The sequence below is a fragment of the Homo sapiens genome, chromosome 1 (genome assembly GCF_000001405.40).
Source record: "Homo sapiens chromosome 1, GRCh38.p14 Primary Assembly".
Taxonomy (NCBI): Eukaryota; Metazoa; Chordata; class Mammalia; order Primates; family Hominidae; genus Homo; species Homo sapiens.
In genome coordinates this window covers 160424747-160448834 of record NC_000001.11, presented here as the reverse complement: position 1 = coordinate 160448834, position 24088 = coordinate 160424747, and the positions used below count along the sequence as shown (strand labels likewise).

General features: G+C 40.7%; 1 protein-coding gene and 1 long non-coding RNA gene across 5 annotated transcripts in view, besides 1 other annotated feature; one reads left to right on the top strand and one right to left on the bottom strand.

Moving 5' to 3' along the window:
• Positions 1 to 10657: 10657 nt before the first annotated feature.
• LOC105371467 (uncharacterized) lies at positions 10658 to 15970 on the top strand. Its single transcript, XR_922202.3, has 3 exons — positions 10658 to 10753; positions 11545 to 11877; positions 15909 to 15970. It is a non-coding gene; the product is annotated as an uncharacterized LOC105371467 (long non-coding RNA).
• Positions 18738 to 18967: an enhancer, noted in NCBI's record as "active region_1923". NCBI's record gives its function as "activates an Ori minimal core promoter by ATAC-STARR-seq in GM12878 lymphoblastoid cells {active_cell/tissue: GM12878}" and the evidence as "EXISTENCE:reporter gene assay evidence [ECO:0000049][PMID:35858748]".
• The window catches only part of VANGL2 (VANGL planar cell polarity protein 2), a 28107-nt gene continuing 24183 nt past the window's right edge, over positions 20165 to 24088 (bottom strand). For all 4 annotated transcript variants that reach the window (NM_020335.3, XM_011509804.2, XM_005245357.2 and 1 more), the window contains one exon: positions 20165 to 23717. In NM_020335.3, coding sequence (NP_065068.1) covers positions 23457 to 23717 — 261 coding nt within the window. In that variant the 3' untranslated portion in view covers positions 20165 to 23456. The remainder of the gene's footprint in view (positions 23718 to 24088) is intronic.

The window sequence follows — 24088 nt, the reverse complement described above, 5'->3', positions numbered from 1 at the left end:
ACAGTTGTTAAACTACAAAGAAAAGAAATGATTATCACAAAAGTCAGCATAGTATTATCTACAGAGGGCAAGGAGGAGGAGGAGGGGCACATAGAGGGCAATGCTCTACTCTTTAAACTGTGTGCTGCTTATATTAGGGTTTGCTTAACTTTAAACTAGTTCATTAAACCAGGATATAGTAGTTCATTAAATAGGTTCATTAAATATGAATGAATTGGCTGGGCATGGTGGCTCATGCCTGTAATCCCAGCACTTTGGGAGGCCAAGGCGGGTGGATCACTTAAGGTCAGGAGTTTGAGACCAGCCTGGCCAACATGGTGAAACCCTCTCTCTACTAAAAATACAAAAATTAGCCAGACATGGCAGCGCATGCCTGTAATTCCAGCTACTCGGGAGGCAGAGGCACAAGAATCGCTTTAACCCAGGAGATGGAGGTTGCAGTGAGCTGAGATCACATACTGCACTCCAGCCTGGGTGACAGAGCAAGACTCCTTCTCAAAAAAAAAAAAAAAAATATATATATATATATATGTGTGTGTGTGTGTATATATATATATATGCATATGAATGAATTAATATAGTTCATTAAAATACAATATGGTATATTAAATCATGAAGTTGCTATTGTTACGTGCCAAATCTGAGCAAATATTGACAATTTCACATGCATGGTTCAACAAAAACTGAATGTGTGTGTTCATCCAATATAGTCTGTGTATGACATATTTCACAATAAAAGAATGAAAAAAGCAAGAAACAATCACTGGATAAAAGTCAGGAAACCCAGGTTCTAAGGTAACGAATTGGATTCTAACCTGAGTTATAATACCACACAGGTGCCCTTTACCCTAGATTCCACTTGTTAGTGGTTAAACACTGGACTCTGCAGATGGCAGACCACGTTTGAATCCCAGCCCAACACTTATAAGCTATGTCTCCTTGGCCCAATTAATCAATTTTTTGTCAGCGATTTCATCTTGTGTAAAGTAGAGGTAGATAACAGTACCTATATTACACAGTTATTATGAAATGTATGTAAATATGTATGTACATAAATAAAGTGTTGTCAATACTGTATATAGCTTAGCTTAATGCCTGGCACTTCATAAATAATTTATCAATGTTAGTTTTGTTACTGGGTCCCATTCTCTTCTGTCACATTTCTTCAGATGGTTTCAGAAAGGTGCAAATGAAGAATTATGTGAATATGCTTTGAAAAAAACAGAAGATTCCATGCAAGCACTATGACTGTCACTATTCTTATTCTCTTACACGTCCATATCAGTCCGTTATCATTCATCACAAGAGCAACATTATCAGCATGGAGACATTGGAGGCAAAGCAGCCAAAAGGAGTTAAGATAGAACCACCACTGCTTTCATGAAGTCTAGTGAACAGAACAGAGATTTAAACTGCATGCTCTTCCTAACCCCAGTCTCCTAGTGCAAAACTGAGAGTCTTGAACTCACAAATCCCAAGCCACCTTTCCAGGGGAGCCAGTTGTGCCAGGGAGTCAAGGTCAGCCAAGGCTTTGAGGATACCAGGAACAGAAGCTCTGAATGTGTAAGGTCCCTTTTCAGACAAAGCCACAGGCTGCCCAGACTAGGGTGGATTTCTGCCTCAGTAGGGCTTGCAGATGGCTTGGTTTTTTCCACCCTGAAACTCTTTTTTTTTATTCGAAGTTGTACAAACTATTTCTATATAGAACGTTAAAAAAATAAACAGGAAATGGGAGGTATCTGCTGTGGAAACAGGATGGATTGTGCCAACGGTCCCCGCCCCACCCTCGTAAACACCCCACCACCATCCCATTAGCAATAGGCACCAAAGACTGGAAACTCAGTTTAAACCTGAGACCAGAAGAAAGCTTAAAATCCGTGCTGATTCAGTTTCAACCAGTTTAGTTTAAAAACCAAACAAAACGAAAAATAGGCATGTGGAAAGAAGGCAAGTTATGTAGAAATGTAAGCATAGCATAGTTCTCTCATTCATATTTCAGGTAAGAACCTCAAGTTTTGTATTATAGTTTGGCTGGTACTGTTGGGTGAATTAAGAGAATGCAACAGACTTCCCAAAATTCAATGCAAAGTACTCAGTTACACCCTTCCAAAAATTTCCTAAGATCCCCTCAGCCCATAATGTCACAGATGCCTGGATCTAATCTCTGGGCCATTACCTTGTTGGGTTCATCCTTTACTGGTGTAAAAACAAACCTTGACAACCCCCAGTAAGTCCCAATGCAATTCTAGAAACTCAAAAGAAACCAAACACTAATAAAACATCAAAATGAAAAGAAATACTGAGACTGACAGCCTGGGCAACATAATGAGACCCCATCTCTGCAAAAGAAAAAAAAATTTTTTTTTTTTTGAGATGGAGTCTCGCTCCGTCACCCAGGCTGGAGCGCAGTGGCACATTCTCAGCTCACTGCAGCCTCTGCCTCCTGAGTTCAAGCTATTCTCCAGGCATGAGCCACCGTGCCTAGCCCCCAAAAAACTTTTTAAATTAGCTGGGTAAAATGGTGCACGCCTATAGTCCCAGCTACTCAGGAGGTTGAGATGGGAGTGTCGCTTGAGCCTAGGAGTTCAAGGTTGCAGTACCACGCCACTACACCCCAGTCTGAGTGACAGAGCAAGACCCTATCTCTAAAAAAACAAAAAACACTAAGACTGAATACAATACACCACATTGTTCTTCCCTCACTTCATTTACATTGTCTTTTACCCAGAGGATGCCCTTCTAAAGATGATGTTTACATAGGTATATTTTATATATATATATGAATGAATGAATACAGTTCATTAAAATACAATGTAGTATATTAAATCATGAAGTGACATGAAGTGACTCTATTTACAGTGACTAGTTTAGTCATAGATAATTATTTAGATAATTTAGAAATTATTAATTTATATCAGGTAGTGATGCTAATGAACTCCAGAAAGTGTAGCCCAAAGGTAAGAAATTGTCAATGGTTCTGCTGCTGTTGAATTACCTTATACAGACCACCTGCAAAAGTGGTCAGTATGGACATACTGTATGCATTATTCTCTATCCTAGACCTTGCATGAAAAAGGCCCTAGCTGCTCAGTTCACTGGCCAAAACTCACCTTAGCCCAGTTCCGTTGTTACTCACAAACACCAACTCCAGTGTTTAAAATTGAGTGAAGATTATGGTTCAGCTACAGACATAGCAACATATGAAGAAGGTTCTTACTTGTCTAGCAAAACCTTATTCCAGACTGGGATAGTGATAGTGAAGTTAAAATTGAGATATCATCCCATTAGTCACTTGACACATATCCAGTTGCTGAGCTTGGAGTGGCATGTTGCAAGTGATGGGAAACCTGGCAAATCTTAATGACCACTTTTCTTCATCAGTTTATTTCAGGGACTCTATAGCCATCTACCCTATTATTTTGGCCTACTTATTACCTTACAGTGGTTGAGGGACCACAATGATAAAACAACAACCCCTCCTGCCCTCCTGTCTGTGATGTGTTGCTCCTATGTGGAGCTTGTAAAACTGAATTCTTATGTAGTAGGCCTATTGAGGTTCCAAGGAAAAATTTCATCCCTTTGGGTAAGAGTAAAGTTTTTCCTGAAGGGAAGGTCTTAACCATGCTATGGAAAAGTAAGTGGAAAGTAATGATGAGTCTGCTGTTGGGCCAGAATGAAGATGCCCATGGACAAGGCAAATGGGGAACCAAGATACAAGTTGGAGAATTGTTACCTGGAGCCACGCTACATAGGTCATGTGAAGTCTCACTATACAGACAGTGCCAGACTTAACAACTTAATATTTTTTAACTTTTTGAGGGTGCAAAGGCAATACACATTCAGTAGAAACTGCACTTTAAATATCCATATAACCATTCTGGTTTTCACTTTCAGTACAGTAGTCAACAAATTACATGAGATATCAACACTTTTTTATAAAATAGGCTTTGTGTTAGATGAGTTTGCCCATTTGTAGGCTAATGTAAGTGTTCTCAGCACTTTTAGCTAGGCTAAACTATAATGTTCAGTGCATTTTTGACTTGAGATATTTTCAATTTATGATGGATTTATTGGGACATAATCCCATTATAAGTTGAGGAATATCTGTATTGGCAAACTTGTTATTTTATCAAGCAAGTCAGCAGATTTCTTTACAACCAATAATCAAAAATTATGTGCATTGTTGATTAAATTAAATAACAAAAAATGCTTTGGAAATTTAAGTGCTATTCAAATATTCAATTAGCTTGAACATTTGAATAGTATAACTTTCAAATCTCCTAGCAAAGTTAGCAGCACTACACAGAATCACGTTTTTTAAAATTTCAAATCAGTTAAGAAAAGGATAATAATAAACACCTGTGTAGTCAGCACCTACTTTAATAAATAAAAATTACCATACAGTATAAAATTAGATACATAGACCAGTGGAAAAGAATAGAGACCCCAGAAATAAAGCCAAATGCTTACAACCAACTAACCTTTGACAAAGCAGACAAAAACATAAATTAGGGAAAGGTCACCCTATTCAATAAATGGTGCTGGGAAAATTGGATTGCCACATGTAGAAGAATGAAACTGCATCGCTATCTCTCACCATATACAAAAGTTATCTCAAGATGGATCAAAGACTAAATCTAGATGATAACCTAGGAAAAACTTTTCTCAACATTGACCTAGGTAAAGAATTTATGACAAAGACCCCAAAAGCAAATGCAACAAAAATAAATAAATGACGTCTAATTAAACTAAAAAGCTTCTGCTTAGCAAAAGAAATAATCATCAGAGTAAACCTACATAATGGGAGAAAACATTTGCAAACTATGCATCCAACAAAGGCCTAATATCTACAAGGAATCTACAAGAACTTAAACAAATCAGCAAGAAAAAAACAAATAATCCCATAAAAAGTGGGCAAATGACACGAATAGACATTTATCAAAAGAAGGCATACAAATGGCTAACAAACATGAAAAAAAAAAAGCTCAATGCTGTTAATCATCAGGGAAATGCAAATTAAAACCACAATGAGACACCACCTTACTCCTGCAAGAGTAGCCTTTTTTTTTTTTTTTTTTTTTTTTTTTCTGAGGCAGATTCTTGTTCTGTTGCCCAGGCTGGAATGCAGTGGCATAATCTCGGCTCACTGCAACCTCTGCCTCCCGGGTTCAAGTGATTCTCCTGCCTCAGCCTCCCGAGTAGCTGGGATTACAGGTGCCCACCACCACGCTTGGCTAATTTCTGTATTTCTAGTAGAGACGGGGTTTCACCATGCTGGCCAGGCTGGTCTTGAACTCCTGACCTCAAGTGATTTACCCACCTCGACCTCCCAAAGTGCTGGGATTACAGGCGTGAGCCACTGAGCCCAGCCAAGAATAGCCATTATTAAAAAGTCAGAAAACAATAGATGTTGACATGGATGTGGTGAAAAGGGAATGCCTATTCACTCCTGGTGGGAATGTAAATGAGTACAACCACTACGGAAAACTATGGAGATTTATCAAAGAACTGAAAGTAGATCTGCCATTCACTTTGGCAATCACACTACCGGTTATCTCCCCAAAGGAAAAGTAGTCAATATATCAAAAAGACACTTGGACATGTATGTTTATTGCAGCACAATTCACAACTACAAAGATAGGGAACCAACCCAGTTGCCCATCAAGCAATGAGAGGATTTTTTAAATGTGATATATATGTATACCATGGAATACTACTCAGCCATAAAAAAGAATGAAATAACACCTTTTGCAGCAGCTTGGAGCCAGAGGCCATTATTCTAAGTGAAGTAACTTAGGAATGGAAAACCAAATATCACATGTCCTCACTTACAGGTGAGAGCTAAGCTATGGGTATGCAAAGGCATACAAAGTAAGTCTAATGGGCATTGGAGACTCAGAAGCAGGAAGGGTGGAAGGGGGTGAGGAATAAAAAGCTACATATTAGGTATAATGTACACTACTCACGTGACAGGTGCACTAAATTCTCAGACTTCAGCACTGTACAATTCTTCCGTGTAACTAAAAACCACTGGTACCCCAAAAGCTATTGAAATTAAAAAATAGATATTAATTTAAAAAGAAAGAAACAAAGAAAAGGTGAATTTGTTGTTAGTCCCAATGTCTAAGGAAAAACAGAGATTAATAGCAAGCAGATGTTTAAATGGGTGAGGGCAATATTTCCTTATTGTAAGAGACATATATCTTAAACAGAGGCCTTACTAATAGCTTAACGGGATTAGACCCCTCTCAGTAAAGTCCAAACAATGTCTTTTTGGAATGAAACTTGATTCTCATCCATTGAGTCAGGGCTTCTTGAACTCTGAATGAATTGCCCTTAATGCTTTATAATAATTTAAGACGACATTATCCATCACATGGATGTCTCACCAGTGCATGGCCATTAGTAACCAGACATCTCATGAACCTACTTGTTCATATTTCATTTGAGAATAGTGCTAGCCTTATATTTGTTATAACAGTCATGTTCATTATATTTATGGACAGAACATCTGGTCACTGTACTTTGAATGAATAAACTGCTATACCTGTTGGCCAGTTTTAAGTTCCATTAGTGTTTTATTGCCTTCATTTAATTTTGTAAGAAATTAAAGGCAGTGAAAACATTGATAAATCTTGAGGTTTTCAGATTTTATAATCTGTTCCATAAAATGTGTGCCCAGATTACTATTAATAGACAAGGATATTGCAAACTGAGAAATAGTGTCTTTTAGAGATCGCTTGCAGAGCATCAAATAAGCCCTTACTTATGAACATACTAGATGAACATCCTATAAAGATACACATAGTCACTAAAGCATATGTAGGTGAACAACACTTTGCTTATATAAATCAATCCAACTATTTACTAATGCCCCCCACAAGGGGAGCTGAGCTGCCCCCTTTCCCCTAAGGCCTGATAGAGGATAACCTGTACAATACCATTGAATAACTCTGGGCTCATGAAGCAAACCAGCCATGCCTAATAATTCCTTTTGCCCTTTCTTTGTTCACAATTGCCATATGATAGACCACACAAGCTTGGTGCTACCAAGCATCTACCTAAGGAGCCCCAAAGACTATGGGTGAAAAAAAAAAGCAAAAACAAAGTCATTCTAATGGTCTCCAAAAATTCTGAATATGAGATCTGATTTTGGAGAAGAGAAACATTTGATAGAATTACCAGGGGAATATAGTCAATTGATAATGGTCATAACAAAGATACTGGTGAGTAAAAAAGTCCAGAGTTATTAACCAAAACAACGATTTTATTACAACCACAACAAGAGGGTAAGAAAAGAACCTTGAGAAATGCTTGTTCTTCCAGGAGTAAGAAACCCTTGTTTTCACAATCAATGAAATATCCGAAAGCATAAAACCAGAGTCAACTTAAATGTTAATTTTTTTTTTTTTTGAGACAGGGTCTCCCTCTGTCACCCAGGCTGGAGTGCAGTATGTGATCTCAGCTCACTGCAGCCTCGACACCCCAGGCTCAGGTGATCCTCCCAACTCAGCCTCCCAAGTAGCTGGGGCTACAGGCATGGCTAATTTTTGTATTTTTTGTAGAGACGGGGTTTTGCCATGTTGCCCAGGATGGTCTCAAACTTCTGGGCTCAAGCAATCCACCTGCCTCAGCCTCCCAAATTGGTGGGATTACAGGCATAAGCCACCATGCCCGGCCTTAAATGTTAATTTTGAGAAGAGGGCCCACTCTGGCAGAGCAATGTTCTGCTAACTGAACAAAATACATGGAAACAAACAAAAAACAGACTCTTTAGCACCTCACAAGAGGCACAGACTCATAATCAAAGGCAAATCTTCACTTCTTTTCAGCTACTAGTCCTAGTATGACATTCACATTGTTTGATAGCCAAAACAATATTTTAAATGATGGTATTTATCTAAATCTTTAAAATTCTCATTTATAAAGCATATTATCAAGTATTTTATTTTAAATGTTTATAATGTATTGATTTTATTATCTTAATGTGATTGATTACAGAAGAAATATTAAAAAATAGAGATTAAAAACACATGAGCACTATACAGTGGCTATGTACTATATGTCTTATGTCTTGATTTTAAAGTTTTTAAAAATTGCCAGATTTATTAATTCAATATTATACTATACATTTATTGAGTATTAATTTAATATTCTATTGCATTCAAAGTCCATTAAGAAACTTCAAAAGTATATTTAAATCAATATTCAGGTGCAATACACTATTAAGAAATGGGGTTGGGCACAGTGGCTCAGGCCTGTAATCCCAGTACTTTGGGAAGCTGAGACAGGAGGATCGCTTGAGACTGGGTCTTCAAGACCAGCCTGGGCAATATAGCAAGACCTTGTCTCTGCAAGAAAAGAAAAATAGAAAATTAGCTGGACTCCTGCTTGAGCCCAGGAGTTGAGGCTGCAGCGAATCATGATCCTGCCACTGCACTCCAGTCTGGGCAACACAGTGAGAGCTTGTCAAAAAAAAAAAAAAAAAAAAAAAAGAAAAAGAAAAAGCAAGAGAAGGAAGGAAGGAACAAAGGAAGGAAAGAAAAGGTCAGAAAACCAATAACACCTTAAAACTGTACACGTACAGTATAAATGGATTAGCTCTGTAGGTCTATATAATCTGCAATATTGCCTAAGATTTCTATAAAAGAACCGGTTATACAGATATACCACTTATTTAAATTATAACTCAATGTAGTTGCATATATCTATGTTTAGATTTACATATTTTTAAATAATGGATAGGCGATAATTACTTATTTCACTTATAGGACAATTGTTAATTAGTTCTAATTAACTATCTTAGAACTATCTTAATTAACTATCTTAATTCAACTGAAATTTAGATAGTTCCATTTAATTTAGTTTTTTGTTAAAACAGAAATACAAATTATTGAATTAATTAATATGCCATGCTTGCATTTTTATTTCATGCTGTGGAAAAAACAGCAAAAAAAGGTAGACATAATTTAACCCCAAATTCACAAAATAATTTAATTTATTACATGGTTTCTTTTTATTAGGAGTGTAAGTAAAACTTAATTAAAATTAAGTTCTCTTATCGTTTTACCAAATTATACTAAAACTTTCTACAGCTTGGTACAAAAAAGCTTCTTTTAGCCTTTTAAAATTGTAACTAAATTGTAAATTTAAATTTATAACTCAAATTGTAATAAATCTATCATTTTTACCTTTATACAAAGCAAAGAAATTGAGGCCTGGAGTCTCTTGCATTTCTTTGTAATCGAATTTAGATTGATTTTTTTCCTCCTTGGAAGTCTTTGATATCCCCCCAGGAGATTTGCAGTAAGCTGATGTCCACTTGTGCTGACAACCTTTCGCCATTTGAAAAGCAATTCCTAGCTTGCTTCTGAGAGCTGGTAGAAATTGAATGTCTGCCTCGGGACACCAAATTATCATGCAACGCAAACTGTCCATCATGAACTGGGTGTTTTCTGAACCACCAAATATAAAACTGAATTACCTAACAGGAATTCATTATAAAACAGAAGTGGAATATACAAAAATGGGTCTGAACAGGTCCAGAATACACAAGTATGCTGCATAAGCAGGGGACTTTGTAATTCCAGCTACTCTTCCACCTCTCCCTTGCTCTACACCGACGGCCTCATGAGGAATTCCCTATGAACAGTTAATGGAGGAAGAAAGAGCATGGGCCTGGATTTGCATGCTATGTCAGCCCCAGATGAATGAGAATGGCCTCTCCACTACAGTGAACCTCACTCAGTAGAGGCTTCAAAGTCAGTAATGAAAGAAAATCTCTCCAGCAGGCAGAACTTGAAGCAGCATATCTAGTTGTACACTTTGTTTGGAAGGAGAGATTGCCTGAGGTACATATCTACATTGAATCATGGGCAGCATGTTAACAGGTTGACCACCTTGTCAGTCACTTAAATGAAAAACAATATTGGAAAAGCAGTAAAAAGGAAGTCTGGGAAAGAACTACATAAAGTGGTCACAGTATTAAGATATTTGTGTCTCAAGTAAACGCTCTTTAAAATACTAGGGTTTCCTAATCCCAGGGTTCCTCAACCATGACATAAACTTACTGTATGCAGAGCATCCAGATTGGCTGCTCCGTATCACCCAGTGGAACTTAGAGGCAAGGAGAACTAATGCAAATATGAAGTTCATGCTACCTGCTGGGCCAAGTGTAATAAAGTCCTTTGTCTCTGACCCAGGAGTCTCATGTTTTTTGTCAGTACCCATGAAACTAACAGACAAACTTATTAGTTTAGAAGTGGCATAAAATCTCAGGCTTTTCATAGTTGTTGGAAGTTCTGGCAATGAGGACGAGATGCTGACAGAGATAGGGCTTTCGGGAAGAGGAAAGTACAATGGCCCTTTTGCAGGCCTGTTTGGAAGATCTGAGAGACTCCTGGGGATCCAGTAGTGACTGTTCTCATCCAAGTAGTGAGTGAGAGGTGGAGAATGAGGATACCCACTGTTCTACCTGTTAATGGGGCTGAGGGGTATTAGTTTGGATTGAAGCAAGCTGTCCAAATGGTATTTGTTCTTTCTCCTCTGGGCAGAAGGAGGGAGGGCTATTATTATGATGAAACAGTAAGCCCCATGGCACAAGCCAACAAGCAATAAGGCAGTGGCCACTAGTTAAGGGGTCCCCACAGCTAAAATAAATGGTGTTGGTAGTGAGGATATAGATGTTTGGGTAGACCACAAACAGAATTTGTTTACGTGAACCTGGATCACCACCAGTCACTTGAAACTGAAAGTAAGCGCAGATTGCTTACTGACACAGATCCGTACTCAAGAGCCTGGTAAAATCATTGCTCTCTGCCCCACAGACAAACATTATCTTTATCTCCCTAGGCTACTAATTTCTATAGTAAGTGTGAAATATCTCTTAGATGTCTTTGTGAAGATGTCAAATAAGCACTTAGATTTATAAGTCTAGAATTCTGGGGAGAAGTCAGGGCAAGAAATAGAGATTTGGGAGTACTTGGTATATAACTAACATTTATTGGGTACTTACTACATGCCAGGCATATCTAAGTAGTTTATGAATATTTTCTGAGTTACACTCCCAACATCCCTGTGAGGTTGGCACTGTGTTATTGTCTTCATTTTAAAGATAAAGAAACAGAAAATTTCCTCAAGGCCACATAGCTACTGGGAGCAAAACCAGAAGAAAAACCCAGGCAGGTTGACCCCAGAGCCCATGTTCATTACTACTATGCTGTGCTATCTGGTACACAGACGGTATTTAAAGCCTTGGGATGAGATGAGGATACCCATGGGTAGTATGTAGAAAAGAGAAAAGGGGACTGAAGTACTGCAACATTTAATGATGTCCTTCAGAATTTCCAATTCCTCCTGTCTGGTTCTGTATTTAATAGACAAATGCTAATTTATCAATTTGAACTGTCCCATCAGGAATATACCTGTACAAATGACCAACTCCAGTTCCCAAACTAGATCTATCAGTTGTTATAAATTGATAAATTAACATTCTTATTTATAATTGCTCTTTTATATGTATGGCTGGTTTTATTCCATTTCCAGAATGTTATTTCCCTTTGATTACTTAATGAAGACAGAATGTCTGGACCAGTAATGACCTCCTAAGATACTGACACTCTGTGAGGTACTATCTGAGGCAAACAGGACTTCTTGGACATCTCTTTGACCACAATATGGCACCATACCAGGAATCTGAGGAAGCAGAGGTTCCACATGGTTTGCTGAAAATTCAAGGGGAAAACAACATCTGAACTGAAAATGCTTAACTCAGAGCTCTCCTCAAATAGTAAATACTATTTCAGAAACGGTTGGTAAGCTTTGGCAAGACGCTGCCCTCAGAAAGAACCATGGCAGCTGAGAAATAGCAAGTACCAGGTATGGGTTCTGTGGTATAAACATGAGGGGCTCCACAAAGGTCCTCTTCTCTTTAGTGTCGAGCAATTATGTGTACATATACACAGCGTACATTAGATGTTCCAATTCTTCTCCCTGTCTTTGATTTTATTCTTAAAACAAAAGATTCATTTGTAACTTTTATTTCAGTTGCCATCAGAGTCTTAGTAAAATAGCAGTCCCTTAGTTGTTCAGAAATTCATTTTTATTTTTAATTATATGGCTACGTAATAGTTGTATATATTTACAGAGCACATATGATGTTTTGATACAGACATATAGTATGTAATGATCAAATCAGGGTAATTGGGGTATCCATCATCTCAAGCATTTATTTATCATTTATTTGTGTTAAGAACATTCCAATTCCCCTATTTTAGTTATTTTTAAATATACAATAAATTGTTGTTAACTACAGTCACCTTATTGTGCTACCAAATACTACAACTTATTCATTCTATTTAACTGTACTGTTATATCCATTAACCACTCCCTGTTTATCCCCCTGTACCTACTATTCTCCCCAGCTTCTGGTAAACATCATTCTAGTCTCTCTCTCCATAACTTCAATTTTTTTTAGCTCCCATATGTGAATGAGTACATGTGATGTTTGTCTTTTTGTGCCTGGCTTATTTTACTTAATATAATGTCCTCCAGTTCCATCCATATCGTTGCAAATAACAGAATTCCATTGTATATATGTACCACATTTCCTTTATGCATTCCTCCATTGATGGACATTTAGGTTGCTTCCATATCTTGGTTATGGTAAATAGTACTGCCATAAACATGGGAGTGCAGACATCTCTTCGAAATACTGATTTCCTTTCTTTGGGCGTACACCCAGCAGTGGGATTGTTGGATCATATAGTAGTTCTGTTTTTAGTTATTTGAGGAACCTCCATACTGTTCTCCATAGTGGCTGTACTAATTGACATTCCCACCAACAGTGTACAAGCATTCCCCTTGCTATACATCCTTGCTAGCCTTCTCAAGAAATCTTTTGACAACTTCCAAGGTCCAATTACTTTGACACTCAATTTTTAGACAGCAATTTCTTGGATAGAGTTTGGTTATTGAAGAGAATGAGGAAGCTCTTCCCAGTCAAAAAGATGTTGTGCCCCATCCTTTATTTCAAGGAAACCTTTCCTGACAACCTTGGTCAGTTTCCTACTGTAAGATCCCATAGTCCCCTATACTTCATCACTACATTCATCACCTTTGAAATTAAGTGATTACTATCTGAGAACAAAGACTATGTCCATGTTATTCAGTGCCATGCCACCAATACCTAGCATAGCTCCTGGCACATAGAAGGTGCTCAACAAATATTGGTTAAATGACAGAATGAGTGAAAAACAGTAAACACAGATAAGACAGTTTCCAGCAACATTTAACTACAAGGTCGTTAAGATCTTGAAGTTTGTACAGTGACCACCACTTGGGCAAAGAAACTTGAGAACATATTTCTAAATTATTGATATATGATGCTACCTACAATTATTGAAATATGGTGTTACTTTTGTGAAAGGAAAATAAATCTTGGGGCCCCAAAATCACTAACCTAAATGGAAAAGTCAAGCGAGGAACTGCTTAAGGCAAACCTGCCTCCCATTCTATTCAAAGTCACCCCTCTTCTCACTGAGATAAATGCATATCTGAGTGCCTCCTTCGGAGAGGCTAATCAAAAATTCAACAGAATGCAACCATTTGTCTCTTATCTACCTATGACCTGGAAGCCCCCCTCCTCACTTCGAGTTGCCCCACCGTTGCTTCAAGTTGTCCTGCCTTTTCCAGACCAAACCAATGTTCATCTTACATACATTGACTAATGTCTCATCTCTCCCTAAAATGTATAAAATCAAACTGTATTCTGACCACCTTGGGCACAGGTCATCATGACCTGAGGCTGTGTCATGGGCATGTGTCCTCAACCTTGGAAAAATAAAGTTTCTAAATTAACTGAGACATGTCTCAGATATTCAAGGATCACACTTTCATTCTATACCCATAGCAATTAATGCAAATATTGAAGTACATTAAGTCACCTTATCTGAAACTATCTAAATATGGTAAAACTCATGAATTTCCTCTGTTCTATTGGTCATTGATATGGTTTGGCTGAGTCCCCACCCAAATCTCATCTTAAATTTTTGTTCCCGTAATCCTCATGTGTCATGGGAGAGACCAGACGGAGATAATTGAATCGTGGGGGTGGTTACCCTCATGCTGTTCTCATGATAGTGAGTTCTCACAAGATCTGATGGTTTGATAAGGGGCTGCCCCCTTCAGTTGGCACTCACTTCTCTCACCTGCCGCCATGTAAGACATGCCTGTTTTGCCTTCTGTCATGATTGTAAGTTTCCTGAGGTTTCCCTAGTCATGAGGAACTGTGAGTCAATTAAACCTCTTTTCTTTATAAATTATCCAGTCTTGAGTATATCTTCATAGCAGCATGAAAACAGACTAATACAGTAAATTGGTACAACAGAGAGTGGGGTACTGCTATAAGGATATCCAATTATGTGGAAGTGACTTTGGAACTGGGTAACAGGCACACGTTAAAACAGTTTGGAGGGCTCAGAAGAAGACAGGAAACTTTGGAACTTCCTAGAGACTTGGAGGGCTCAGAAGACAGGAAAATGTGGGAAAGGTTGGAAGTTCCTAGAGACTTTTTGAATGGCTTTGACCAAAATGCTGATAGTGATATGGACAATGAAGTCCAGGCTGAGGTGGTCTCAAATGGAGATGAGGAACTTGTTAAGAACTGAAGTAAATGTCACTCTTGCAACGCAAAGAGACTGGCAGCATTTTGGCTCTCATTCCCTCTCCTGCCACAAAGTGAAGAAGGATGTGTTTGCTTCCCCTTCCACCAGAATTGCAAGTTTCCTGAGGCCTCCCCAGCCATGAGAAACTGAGTCAATTAAACCAGTTTCGGGTATTTCTTCATAGCAGCATGAGAATAGACTAATACAGTCATGTTGGCAAAAAAATTTCTAGCCAAAGATAATTTATATTGGAAACTGCTCCTTCAATTTCTATGGCCTTTAGTGATAAGATCTCATTTTGGCCCTTTTTTTGTGTCATTATTAACGTCTCATGGATCAGTTAAGTTGCATACTGAACTGCTTTTGTATAAACTCCACACGTAAGGCCTATCTCACAACATATCATTTAAGATTCTCATAAAATCACAATTTGATACAGGTGGCACAATTTTATAGCATGAGCAACAATGACCTTACCAAACTATTTATTACATTCATAAAATTTAGACCTCTTAACAATTTTGATCTCTTGCATCAATTATCTTAGAGTTAAGTAAGGCGTGTTTAGGACCCTCAAATTTTCAGGGGTATATTAAGCTTCTTTTAGGGCCTTGCTGCTCAAAATAAGGTCTGTAGAACATCAGCAGCAGCACCTGGTGCTTTATACTGTGTTGCCCCAGAATGCATATGTTGAAGCCTAACCCCCAATTTGATGTTATTTGGAAATGCGGCCTTTGGGAGGTAATTAGATTTAGATGAGGTTATGAGACTAGGGCCCTCGTGATGGAATTAGTGCCCTTATAAGAAGAGACATAAGAAACCTCGCTCTCTCACTCTCTCTCTCTCTCTCTCTCTCTCTCTCTCTCTCTGCCATGTGAGGGCACAGCAAGAAAGCAGCATCCTATAAGCCAAGAAGAGATCCCTCATCAGATCCTAACCATGCTTGCCAGCCCAATCTCGGACTTCCAGCCTCAAGAACTATGAGGAATAAATTTCTGGATTTTAAGACCCCCAGTCAGTCTATGGTATTTTGTTACAGCAGCCTGAGCTGACTAAGACACCTGGGCACCTGTTTGAAATGAAGAAACTCAGACCCTACCCAGACCTGTTGAATCAGGGTCTGTATTTCACATAATCCCCAAGTGATTTGTACACTTGCTATACGCACCATTAAAGTTTGAAAAACTCTATTTTGGGGACCTATTTCAAGACAGAGTAAAAACCCGATGAACATTTCAATTCCAGGAAAAAGGTTGCCCAGGGTCGAATTCTTCAATATGCTCCAAACCAGAAGTACACAATCTCGTACCAGTCACTGAAAATGAATTCTACAAGCTCAGCTTTCCCTGATGATACAGTTTGGATCTGCTTTCACTTCAACTGGATTCCATCTTTGAGGCCAGAGGTACTGTGTTAAGATATAAGTAAACTGACAGAAGACAAGAAGTCCTTCAACAAGTGTTCTTTATTACAGTAAAAACCATCCCAGCCAACCCCACCCTAAAATCACACATTCTTATGTCAAAGAGAACTAACATTAACAGGAACTTGAAAGGAGTGAAAATCTTCACTAAGTTAAATCACATGTTTCCTGACTCATTTAAGTCCCCTCATGCAAATTTTTGGTTGTCACAGTATTATTGATGGACCAACAGAGCTTCAGCTTCCTCTTCAGTGGTCTTTAACAGATTTCCAAGCTCCATAGTGACACTGTTAAGGGATTCAGGGGAAACAGCACACACCTGCATTTTTTTCCCCTGAATCACAAGTACCTATAATACTATCACTTTTATTACTAGAGCGGTGTCTAGAATTAGGTAAAGTTGTGCTTGATGTCTTCTTAGTCAGGTTTTTTTAAATAGAGTTTGTTTGTAATTTATTTATTTATTTTTGAGATGGAGTCTTGCTCTGTTGCCCGGGCTGGAGTGCAGTGGCACAATCTCAGCTCACTGCAGCCTCCACCTCCCGGGTTCAAACGATTCTCATGCCTTGACCTCCCGAGTTGCTGGAATTACAGGCGCATTCCACCAAAATAATTTTTGTATTTATAGTAGAGACAGCGGGGGAGGGTTTCACCATGTGGGCCAGGCTGGTCTCGAACTCCTGATCTCAAATGTAAATAGCCTTTTTAGAGTAGTTTTAGTTTCATGTGAAAATTGAGTGGAAGGTACAGGGATTTTTTATACATGCCCTGCCCCCACACTTGCATGGACTCTCCCATTATCTACATCCCCCACCAGAGTGGTACATTTGTTCCAATTAATCACTCAAAGCTTATAATTTACATTAGGCTTCACTACTGGTACTGTATATCCTATGGGTTTGGAAAAATGTATAATGCCAAGTATCCACATTTATAGCACATACACAGTAGTTCCACTGCCCTAAAAAATCCTAAAACCACATACTTTTAACCACATACTTACCCTAAGTGAAGCAGCAGCATGACCTAATTGTGCCCAAAAGCAAGAAGGGACAATACACAACCGAAGATCTCATACTCCTAATTTTTTTTTTCTTTTTTCTTTTCTTTCTTTTCTTTTTTTTTGAGACAGAGTTTCACTCTTATCACCCAGGCTGGAGTGCAGTGGCCCAATCTCGGCTCACCACAACCTCTGCCTCCCGGGTTCAAGTGATTCTCCTGCCTCAGCCTCCCAAGTAGCTGAGATTACAGGCATGTGCCACCACGCCCAGCTAATTTTTGTATTATTAGTAGAGACGTGGTTTTACCATCTTGGCCAGGCTAGTCGCGAACTCCTGACCTCAGGTGATCCACCCGCCTCGGCCTCCCAAAGTGCTGAGATTATAAGCGTGAGCCACTGCGCCCAGCCATACTCCTAATTTTTATAACCTTATAACCAAAGTCATTCCCCTTACAGGATATCAGAGTACAGATGGCTATTTTTGACAAGTGACATCAAAATAGTTTACATATCAGGCTCAATACCCTCACACACTGTTGGCTTCAGTCTGCCTTTTACAGATGGTATTTACCACCTCCAGGAAAATAGTGTGCTTCCTCGGGTTGCCTACAACATATGACAAAATAAAATTTCCCAACTTATCTAGCAAAAGTCCCATGAGCTCCAAGGGGAGGGGGCCAATGTTTTATTTATCTTTGTATCACAATGCCTACCACACAGTAAGTGTGCCCCCAAAACTTGCTGAGATGAAATGAGAGAAGCCAATGCCTTGGCCAGGTTTCCCAACTCTAAACCAGTACCTTCTCCCACTATTCTACATACTCAAATGTGGCATTCACTGTTATGAGCAGGTAGGATGTCATGTCTGCCCTGCCGTTTGTACCAAGAGAAATGGACCCCATTCTCAGCCTGAAAAGAAACTGGGGAGCTAGACAGGGATGACTATTCTCCAAGATTTACTATGTAGGTGGTCCTTTATTATCTCTCTAGCATCTTCCATGACCATGTGTACACTAATGCTGCAGTGCTTTTCCAAAGGCTGACTTTCCCCTACCCCAGCCTTCCTGGCAATTGGAAGAGCATTACTATCATATGCTTAAAGTAACAAAAAAGCCAAGGGTTACCTTAAGCAAGCTGACTTTCAGTCTGTAGAAGCCATTAAACTATCCCAAACAAACAAAAAAAAATAGTAACAAAAAAATTAAAATTAAAAAATAAAAAACTAATAACAAATCACTGAGACCTTGGTCTAAAGATCTTTATGTCTCCTCAGCCAGAGCCCCAGCCCCCAGTTCCCCCTCTCGGCTGTATTTCAAAGGCAAAGGCTAAAAAACAAAAATCACACATGGGCAGCATATGTAATCACATATAATCACATATAATGTCATGAAGTCCCAGGCATGACCCTGACAATCCACCAAGCTGGGTCCCTAACTTCAGTGCTATGTGAAGAACTTCTGTGGAAAACACATCCTTTCAAACAAAAGTTACAAATACCCTTTGCTGCCTGACAAATGGTCAGGATTATCACTTTTGCTTGCAGCAAACCTCTAGAGAAAATATGATCTTATCAATCAAATATTGAGGTCTGGCTTTAAATCTATGAATTCCTGGGGCCAGCATTACAAGAGGAGGTCCCTGAGGTTAACTAGCCTTCTCAAGGGTCCACCAAGGTTAGCTCAGTGAGGGCAGGACCATATCCAGTATCTTTACCAGAGAAAGTACTTTAGTATCAGGCTGGGAACATCATAGGCACTAAATAAAGAATAAACTTAAAAGGTGTTTACTATACTTGGCTGTTGAGAACAAGAATAATTTCAGAGGCATGCTAAGGTAGAAATTTGGTCACAATGTAAGTCACAAGTTGACTCTGAAATGAACTGGAAACAGCAAGTGAAACTATTCTACAAACCTAGTTACAGAAAGAACAGAGCCGTGAGAATGGGGATGCAATTTCAAGGGAAGTATTTTTGTTTGTTTTCACATGAGAAAGACTGGAGTGCAATTTTAAAGGGAGAAGCAAGTATATGATCCCTTTCATGAGCCCCTATTGTATTGTTAGTTGTTCAGTTCATTATTCATGCAACAATTTTTTATTGAGGACCAACTATATGCGAGGAACTGGTTTCAATTCTAGGAATACTTAGATGAACAAAATGTAATCTCAAGGTGAGTGTGTTCCCCCATCTTGAGTCTTAAACAAACTTCCTAGATTTCTTGAAGGAAACTCCCCGAGCTCCTTGGAATCCAGCCAGGGTTTGTCTACACTCTGCCTGAGAACACGCCATGAAGCCTTGCACTAGGGTCACCCAGCCTGTCACCCCTGTAAACTGGGTCATCCTCCAGGATGGAGCCTCTCTTGCCTTTGCATCCCCAGAGCCTGGCAGAGTATGAGGCAGGGGAGAGGAGGAGGAAATCTAGTGAATAGGCCACCTCCATACAGAAATGCTTGTTTTTAACCTTAGCAGGCTGTTTACATGCTAAGCATCTTGCCCAAAGTCACAGAGGTCAGGCCCAGGTAAGACTGGGAGAAGGGACCCAATCTCTTGAGGGTGATTTTAGTACCTGATTACATGCATTACAGTGACAACAGAGCACTGAACTCTCTACATATTTAGAACTAATATATATACTACAGAAACTTGTCTCAATGAATTGTGATGGGCTGTCACCACTGACTGAAATCTCAACTATCCCCTGAAATTCCTATGGCACTTTATGTTTTAGAAATACGTTTTAGAAACCCACTCCTGCCCTAGAGGCCATACAGACACAAGCTTGCTCAGGAGGGTGGACCCAGGAAGTAATCTTTCTTTCTCTATCCTGACAACTACACCAGGAAGTGGTTAAGCCCTCACATTGTTGTTTCTCTCTCTTTAGAATCAGGATTCAGAATAAGCAATTTCCTTTTTCATTTTCCCATTTCTCTCCAACACACCCTGAAGGCCTGCAGAGCAATGATGAGCTCACACTGCCCCCTCCTGCCCATTCCCTCCCTAACAAGGAATATATTCATTATTCCCTGGCCCTCATTTGCTCCCATTCCTGTAAAGAAAGAAAAGCAACAGAATGCCCCCACAAAAGTCAAATGTCTTTATTTTATATAAAAAAAATTTGTACAGTTTTAGTTCCTATGTTTAAGAAAAAAATCCTAAAATTGCCGTAATGTTTAGATCCACTGCAAACTGTAGAAACAAGCTTTTTATATATTAAAAAAAATTTACATTTTACAATTTTCTACATGCATGCACAAGGTCTCAGCTCTGTAACCCCACCCCCCCAAAAAAAAGGAAAAAAAATCTAGATCCAACAGTGGAAAATTCTACATTTACAATCTCACTTGGAAGGGACTCAAAAAGCCCTCTTCCTTTTGCGCACGGAAGAACAAATCACAACAATCACACACCAGGACTGAATCCATCAGCAGATACTGCCCTGTGGGAAGGGCAGAGGAAAGAGAAGACAGACGGACTGACAGACACCACAGAGGAACAGGGGAGTTAGCCTGGGACCAATGGAGGAGAAGTACGAACCCTGGGAAAAAGACGTGTCAGATGAGAAAGTTCCGGAGAGTCCGATGTCTCATCGCAGGTGTTACATCATCAGGGTTTGCCATTGGAATACTGAGTGGAGATGGGAAAGAGAAAAGTTAAGGGCTGAAATGGGAGGGGAATGGGAAGAAAAAATGAGAGACAAGAGGGAAATAAGAAAAAACAAAGAGAGCACAAAGACCAGTTTAGGAGAAAGGACCAATGGGGACAGTGGCAGAGTGGCGAGGTAGGTGAAGGACTGAGGCACAGCGTCCTGTTGTGGAGGGAGGAAAGGCAAGCGTTCCGAGGTGGTGAAAAGGAAGGCCTGCTAGGCACGGTGGGGATGAACGAGGATGCCATGAGTCACACAAAAGACAGTGCTGGTGAGGCCCAGCCACAGCAGCCCTATGGTGTCAAGGGGGTAAGAGGTGGGCATACCCCCACAGCAGGAGAATGAGCAGATCCAGCGCATGATGGGACAGACACAGTGGGGAAACTGCTCAGAGGGACTGAGTCAGCTGCACACCCCACAGCAGTTCACAGCATGGAGACAACTTCCCACAGGGGAGAAGCAGAGGACAAACACATGGCCATATGTCTGACAATTCATCCTGACATTTTAAAAAACAATAGTAATAATAATAATAATAATAATAATAATAATGAAAAAAGACAAAGATACCACAGTTCTGAAGCAAAAGACCAAAATGCTACCATTCTCAGGCACAGCCCTTAGTGCTTAGAGAGTTGGAGGCAAAAAATTTTTTTTAGGAAAGGGGAATGAAAAAAAAATCACAGTGATTAAAAACATGGCAGGATCTTAAAATAAACACTCCCCAGCCCCTAACCTAGGGCAGCAACTAAGATCCCAAATCCTTTCCCTCTCCCCCACCCCAACCTGCTCCTCAGACCACACCACACTCCATCCTGTCCACAAAGGCAATGACCCCAGTCACCATCCAGGCCCTGTTTTCCAGGATAGTGAGGTATTTATGTGACTCAGAAGGGACTCTCTGACACAAAGTTTTTGAAGAGAAGAAAAGAGACAGACCCCCAGAACAGGACATATTTCATACAGGCCTATCTCATAACCCTGGCCCCAGCCAGAGGCCCTGCCTAAGTGAGCTCCACAACCCACCCCTTTGGGGACAAGGTAAGCATTGGCCAATGAGCTCCTCTCTAGCATGCGGTGGGTAAACAAGTGAACTTTTGCAGAAAGGACAGCAGGAGAAACCCCGATCACTAGGCTCCATCATTCCCAGGGCTGGTGCTACACAGAGGGGGAGCCTCCCAGGGGAGACACTGGGGATCTTATCCCAGGATGTGCTCTGCAAGGTAAGTACCAACCAGTCTTTCAGGGAAAAGAAGGGCCTACAAAAGGACACTGTGAGTTACTCAGAGGAATGGCCTAGTCATTGCAGCCATCAGAAAGGTCCTCCATGTGGATCCTGGCTGGATGTATATGGGTACTTCCTAATTCTACTCTCCTTGGCAAAAATGTCTGAGTCAAAGGCTCAGATTTATATTGAAAATATTTATTAGAGGGCCAGCAAATTTTGCTCAAAATGAGATCTAAATTATCAAGAATTTGGATTTGGTGCAAAGACTATGGAAGCTAAAATGGGGTGAGGGGTGAAGTACCTACAAAAGGCAGTAATCCTTGCCCCTCAACCCAATACAGACGGAGCCCAGAGCTCAGAGAATCAGGCAGGGAGAAAAGGGGTGGGGACCCTGGAAGGCCAAGGAAACGAGACCCCTGAGGCAAAGAACTGGACTTAAGGCAGGGGATGAGGAGGAGCTGCCGGCTCTTCCCCAAAAGAGATGAGGCAACAGGTCTCTGGAGTCGAGAGAAGGCGGCAGGACAGGGGTGGCTGGTGACAAAAATAAAAACATTTGTCTAAGACCACAGGGGCTGGGTCAGGGTCTGCAAGCCACTATGTCTGTACAGGAGTCTACATACCATCCTTCACTGGGAAGAGCGGGGACGAAAGTGAGGGTAGGGTTAGGGAGCAGGAGTCAGTGATGGGGGTCTCTCCAAAACCTCAGGGATCTATTCAGCCCTCCTCCTCAGGGGCTGCCTAGGAAGACACATTGGAAGAAAGGTACCTTCCCCTAAGTCCCTGGAAAAGTGGTCACAGAGGGTTTCCACGTGGTTGCCTATGGTCACGTGACCATACAAACCAAAAACATTAGGTGGAGATTTCTGGGAAAAGGATGGGATCCTTCTTTGCTCTAAATATATGTGGAAGCAAATGCTCCTAGCAAGGAGATTTCTAACTCGGGCTGTGTGGCAGGAGTATCCCTGCCCTAGAACCCAGGGTTTGTTGTGGCTGGGGTGAGGGACAGGAGGGCCAGTTGCTGCCCTGGAGGAGTTTGGCACTGTGGCTCTCTGGAGTCATGTCCATGTGCCCCAGAGAAACCCTGTTGGGCCACTGAAGAGAAATGTTTTAAGAACTTGGATTTGTGAGTCGGGGCTCAGGAGGGGAAAGTACAATCAGCAGGGCCCTGTGCCCTTTCAGGAGAGACTGTAATCTGGGAAAAGACTAGGGAAAGAAGAGGGAGAGAGGCACTGATTCCTGCAGGGCCTAGAGTAATACAAAAGTTGTTGGTGAGGTGGGAGTCCTTCCCAGGTACTGTTGACAGCAGGATGGTCTCTCCAGGTTCACATGGGGTAAAATAAGGAAGAAGCGAGGAGAGAAGGTGGGGGTGCGTTAATTCAAGTAAAAAAAAAAGAGCAAGAAGAAGAAGGGTGGCAGGAATGTGGCTGGGCCTGAGAACCAAGCCCCCTCCCACCCCCTCAGGACCCCCCAGAGTTTCCCACTCCCCCTGCTGTTGCACAGTCACACTGAGGTCTCAGACTGCAGCCTCATGACAAACTTGTGTGACTTGGGATCCACAAATTCCTCGGAGAGTTTGAAGAATGGGACCTTCTTGGTGCTGACCACCAGGCTGAAGTCCTGGCGTTTTAAGAGGAAAACGATGCCATCCTTGAGGCCGTTGGTCACCGGCTCCTCGCTCACCAATGTCCACTGTTTGGCCAGCCAGCGTTCCTTGTGGTACTGGATGGTAGGTCCAGCCGCCAAGTATCGCTCCAAGAAGGCCTGAAGTGGAAAGAAGGGGCTGCATAAGAATCTCTGTCATCTACCCACGGTCCTTCATCCCCTAGGTCATAGTTTCCAAAGACAAGAAGGACGTCCCTGAGCTCACTCTATGCATATGAACTAGAACCTCAGAATGTTACAGCAGGAAGGGGCCTGAGATCATCTGCTTCAGACCCTCATTTTATAAATGAAGAAGCCGGAGTGCACAGGGGGATGTGGCTCATCAGGTAGGACTGAACTCGGCTCCCCTGACCCCCATCTGCTGCTCTTCTCCCTGCACCAGGCTGTGACCTGGGCAAGCCCTCCCTCATTCTTCCTTCCTTCCCACACAGCTTGTATGATTCGTGCCAAGCAGGTCTGCACCAGGAGGG